Consider the following 6000-nt stretch of genomic DNA (forward strand, 5'->3'; position numbering starts at 1 on the left):
AATGAAAAGTCAACAGAGAACAGTGAGGGAACACTAAGAGTTAACTGCAGGAAGGAAAGACCAATCCTAAGCAAAGGCCACCCCTAGATTTGGGGGAATGAAGGGAATAAATTGGGATTATCAGAACCTAGCGACTTAGAGGCAGGGCTGGCCACACAGAGCTGGTACCCAGATCTCTGAAGAGGTGGAGCTGCTCAACTGGTCTCACAGGAGGTGCAATAAGGCTGGCTTTGGGAGGGCTGGGAACTGGAACCAACTACTAGTGCCAGGAGCAAGGGCTGTTGCTATGGAGACACTGACAGGATCGGCAGGCAAACAGGAGTGAACAAGACCCTTCTCCCCTCTCCTTTGCTTGCAGCCTCTCCCCATGCTCACTGATGGCAAAACCAAAAGGAACATCAGACAAAAGAGCCTCAGCATGGCAGAGTAGAATATAGAAGAGTGGACAGAACTAGCTATATGGTGGAGGGAAGGGGAGTGTGATGAACCAGGCACTATTCAGCAAGTGTCATCAGAAGTGACACCATCCACATCCCCTTGGCCAGAATAAGTTAGGAGGCTAAGCCCTGTTGTCATTAGGCAGGAGAGTATTATCCTCCTCCATAAAGGGGCCTCTAATATTACGAATGGTAAATACAGAACGGTCTACCAAGATTTCAATTCGGCCCCCAGATTCAAACAGGCTTTCACCTGGTGAACATCTATCTGGTCAGCTGTAGTTGGAGCTTCCTCCTTTGGCCAGTGCCTGGTCAAAAGTACTCTAAGGTTTTGTCACTCAAAATATGGTCCAATAGCAGCCGCCTTACCTGGAATCTCTTGAGAAATGCAGATTCTCAACCCCACCCCAGATCTGCTGAATCAGAACCTGCATTTGAACAAAGTCCACAGGTGATTTGTGCACATTCAAGTTTGAAAAGTTCTTCTCTCTTGAACCTGAACCAAAAGGAGAGTATGCCTTGCACATAAGCCTGGGTAGGGTTTCTTTGTTTGTTTGTTTGTTTGTTTTCCAACCACCTGTATCAGCAGCCTTGAATTACACTCAGTCTCTGTTAGGTTCTGGAGTTAACTTGAGGGCCCATCTTAGTTTCCTACATTAACGAGAATTTTCTTTTTCTCTTTTTTTCTGCCTAGTCATAAGGATTTAGTGAAAAGCTGGGAGGGACCACATCGGGGGTTGCTAGTCATTTGCCACTTTTTTGCAATTTCTCAACTTCCAAGTCCATGGCTGTAACTTGCCTGGTCCCTGGTTTGTAACTTCACTTGAATGCCATTCCTTTAATCCTTTGAAGAGGCTCAGGGTTGTGTTAATTTCCTAGGACTGCTGCAACAAATTACCACAAACTCAGCCACTTAACACAGCAGAGATTTATTCTTTCACACTTCTGAAGGCTGGAAGTCCAAAATCAAGGTGTCAGCAAGACAATGCTTCCTCTGAAGGCTCCAGGGAAGAATCGTTCCTTACATCTTCCTAGCTGGTGGCTCCTGGAAATCTTTGGCTTCTCTTGGCTTGTAGTTGCATCCCTCTCATCTCTGCATCAATGTTTACATGGTCATCTTCTCTATGTCTCTGTGTGTGTCCTGTCCTCTTCTTATGAGGACACCAGTGATTGGATTTATGACCCACTCTAAATCCAGGGTGATTTCATCTCTAGGTCTTAAGCTAATTATATCTGCGAAGACTATATTTCCAAATAAGGCCATCTTCTGAGGTTCCAGGTGAACACAAATTCTGGGGGTCCCTATTCAACCTGCTACAAGGTTGAATGCATGTAAGTCCTAGGTCCCTATTCAACCTGCTACAACGGTGAAAGCATGTTGTCACTGGGACTTTCTCCAAGACCCAAACCCCAATGTTGGCACCATGGTTCCACCATAGGGATGCCTCTGAGTACCCTGACCTCTCACTGTAATTCTATGTGAGGCATGGCAGTGACAAGAGCCAAATGTTTCCCCTGCAGCTGGGATTGCACTAACCACAAATCCAAATGCTGTAAAATAAGTCAGAACAAATCTCTTCGCCTTTACAGCACACGCAAATCCACGGATGTCTGCAGCAACTGACTGTACAAAACCAATTATTCTGAAACAGTGCTTTCATTTTTCATATGCTGTGGATTCTCTTCAACGCAGCAGCCTTAGGCAACTTATAGTAGCAAGGCAGTTGAGGCCAGTGATTTGAGCATTAGGGTGAACTTCTCCCTTCCTCAGGGCTACACCCAGGGAGACACAGTTATTTGCAGACAGAGGGTCCAAACCATGTGGTCCCACCAGACTGTGAGCTCTTGGAGAGCAGAGACCGTGACTTATTCTGTTTTGTATATGCAGAACAGTTTCCAGGACACAGTAGTTACTCCGTCATGTTTGGTCAGGTTTCCCATAAATGAACCCTGAGTTGAAGACTCGCCAGCACGTGGTTTATTATAGAAGTGTTCCCAGGGAAACCCACAAAGGAATAGGGGAAGCAGACAGGAAAGAAAGGGGAGACCAGCCAGCAGGGCCAGAGCTGGAGGTGGGGGGGAGTCAAGTGAGGGGCCTACAGTGTGAAATGTAAGGAGGTTTGTGCCTGAACCTGAGTGTTAAGCGTCTCCTTCAATTTTGTGCCCTGGTTGCCTTACTCGCCTCTCCCTGCCTAGTCCCAGCCCTCTGGTCACGGATGTGATTTCAGACAAAATCCCTCACAGGGCAGCTTCAGCCTGATCCTGGGGGAACCCTGGAGTGTAAGTTATGCCTTAGACTTTTCCTGGTTAGGGGCTAGAGGCCTGGGGCTTTCTGACTCCTGTACTCCCTGGGCACTGGTTAAGGACACCTTGAGAATCAGGATAACGTAAATTCCCAAGAACAGACCTCCTAAAAAGAGCCACAGGTGCTGGCTGTTGGAAGGGAAAGTGCACCTAAGGAGGGGGACTTGGGGCACATGATCAGTAGGAAGGGATCTGGGTGAGCATCGATAATACGTCTCACCAGTGTTTGTTGAAAGAATGACTGAATGAAGGAAGAAGTATATAGGTGAATGAACAATTGAATTAATTGAACAAATGAAGGAATGAACTAAAAGTTGAGAGCATTAAAGTCTTGTCTTTGACCAACTTTGAGCTCCCACCCCACCCAGCTTGCATGCGGATGCTGGATGACGAGCATGGTGGTGGATGTCCTCATAGCAAAGTTCATCTCTCCTTCACCAGGAAGTTTCCCATCAGTAGTGGATACATAGAACGTCCACCGACATGATCCAAATGCTGGTAGACCTAATACCCAAAAAGAGAGCAGAGCAGAATGTCCTTCTTTTCCCTGGAAACATCCCCTAAGAGACAGCAGGGAAATGAAGAAGAAAGTCATTGGTTTACTAGTGACCTGGCTGACAGGCTCTTGCTCTCCCAATCCCTCCATCCTACCCATTAACCAGAGCTCCCCAAAGCAGCCCAGTATACGGTGTCACTGCTTAAATCCCATCACATCTCCCTACTGACTCTTATTACATTCCAAAATATTTACGCATTTGATGACTCAGAATAATCATCTCTGTCCCAAGCCTCTGAGACTGGCAGTAAGAGCAGCAGAGAATTCTTACCTTGCCTGGCTTTCCTGCTACCAAGAGAGATATGGTGCTAACACCGGTCATGGGGACAACATAAAACACTCAACACTGCCCAGCATGGCCCCTCTCACCCCAGAGGACTTTCCTTGTTCACACTCTCATTTTCTGTTGGGGGAATCATCATTGTCCTAGGAACCCAAGCTTAACACTCAGAGTCAGGCCAGGCTCATACCTGTAATCTCAACACTTTGAGAGGCTGAGGCAGGAGGATCACTTGAGATCAGGAGTTCGAGACCAGCCTGGGCAAAATACCAAAACCCTGTTTCTATCATATTAAAAATGTAACATGTTTAAAAAGCTCAGAATCATCTATTTATTCATTCACTTATTGAGCACTAACTTTGGGTGAAGCCTTGTGCTGAGTCCTGATCCTTTAGCAGTTTGATAGATGACCTTACATGAATATCTGTACAGTTCTAAGCATATAAGCTCCAAGGAGATGCTTGTTAGATGGACAAATGGGTAGGCAGAGCTCTGGATGGATAAGTGGGTGGATGGATGAATAGATGACTGGTAGATGGATGAATGGATCTGTGAGAGGTTGAATGTATGGGTGGATGGATAGAAAGATGGATGGATGGATAAATAGATGAATGGATAGATAGATAAATGAATCTGTGGGAAGATGAATGGATGAGTAGATGAATGAGTAGAACAGTGGAATCTATCAGTTATGTTTCTTTGGTATCCTTTCCCCCTCTTCTGGGAATAGAATCCTTCTTTTCTAAAGAGTACACATTTCCTGTGACTGTGTGGGGCTGAACTTGACTTCTCACACTCTCCACCCTGGCCATGTGTCCTAGGCCTAGCTAATCAAACTATCCAAAACCTCTGGCCACAGAAATTAGTTTTAGTCCAGGACATGCAAGCCAGACCAGCGTTCTCCCTGGGACTTTTTGGCTGGTGCCAGCAGTAGACACCCTCTCTTGCCTGGGTTGCTAAACTGTTAAGAGACTTGTTTAAGGCTGCTGGAGGCTGTTTTACCTGCCACAAGGAGAAAGCCTAAATGAGGATGGGAAGATGAGAGGTGGGAGAAGGAAAAAAGAAAATGAGAGAAAGGGGAGGAGGGAAAGGTGGAAGATGAGAAAGAAGATGAGAAGTAGGAGGAGGGGTACTAGAAATAGTCAGAGACGTAATTTAAGCCTCCAGTGTGGGGAGCCAGTTGAACTCTTGGACTTTCCAGGTACATAAGTCAATTTTTCCTTTCTCTGACTTAAGATAGCTTGAGTTGTATTTCTTTTACTTATAACCAAGAGAATCTTATCAGTGCAGAGTGAGGGAGTAAATAAATGAGTGAATGCATGATCAAATGAATGAATGAGTTCCATAAATATCAAACTAGTCGATGTTTTTTCCTCCCTTAAGAGCTAGACCTGCAAATATAAGGATTTAATGAGATGTTCCTGGTTTCTACTGGGGCCTGTCTGATTGCTTCCGTTATGTCTGGTGTTGACTCTAACTCTTGAAATGTAAATGAAAAATGAAAAGGAAAAAACAGCCAACTAAAAATAATAAATCTCTGGAGCTGACATTCAACTGTGGCTGCAGATTTCAAGCTAGGAGTTATTATACAAGAACGACTGAAACAAAAATCAATACAATTTAAAATTCTCCCAAAGTCTTCTTCTCCACCTTCCCATCCCCATTCAAGCTGAAGTAGTGGGAGCAGGTGGGCACGCAAGTCTGACTACACATACATATTCCCCCTCCCTTCCCCATCTCCTAGAGCTTTCCCTTTATCCAGAACTTTCCAACAGCTTTTCAATGATTGATAACAAGTACCACCTGGGGGTTCATGGAAGTCTTTCCAGATGAGGTGGATGCCTGAGCTGCATCCTGTAGACTGGGAAGGACCCAGGTACAGAAAAGTGAAAAGGACTCTCGGGACGTGGAATCAGCATGAGTAAAGTCACCAAACAGTTGTGGGCAAATATAGGCAGTGGGAATGGTCATAGTTGAGGTTGAAGAAGTTGCAGAGGTCAATTATAAAATTCCTTGTAGGCTGGGCACAGTGGCTCATGCCTGTAATCCCAGTGCTTTGGGATGCTGAGGTGGGAGGATTACTTGAAGCCAGGAGTTAGAGACCAGCCTGGGAAACACAGAAAGACCTCATCTCTACAAAAAATATAAAAATTAGCTGGGGAGTTGGGGGTGGCTGGGTGCAGTGACTCACAACTATAATCCCAGTACTTTGGGTGGCTGAGGCAGATGGATCATTTGAGGCCAGGAATTCAAGACCAGTCTGGCCAATATGGCGAAAGCCTGTCTCTATTAAAAATACAAAAATTAGCCAGGTATGGTGGCAAATGCTTGTAATCCCAGATACTTGGGAGGCTGAGGCATGAGAATTGCTTGAACCCAGGAGGCGGAAGTGCAGTGAGCCAAGATTACACCACTGCACTCCA

Source organism: Homo sapiens, chromosome 9, assembly GCF_000001405.40.
Source record: "Homo sapiens chromosome 9, GRCh38.p14 Primary Assembly".
Classification (NCBI taxonomy): Eukaryota; Metazoa; Chordata; class Mammalia; order Primates; family Hominidae; genus Homo; species Homo sapiens.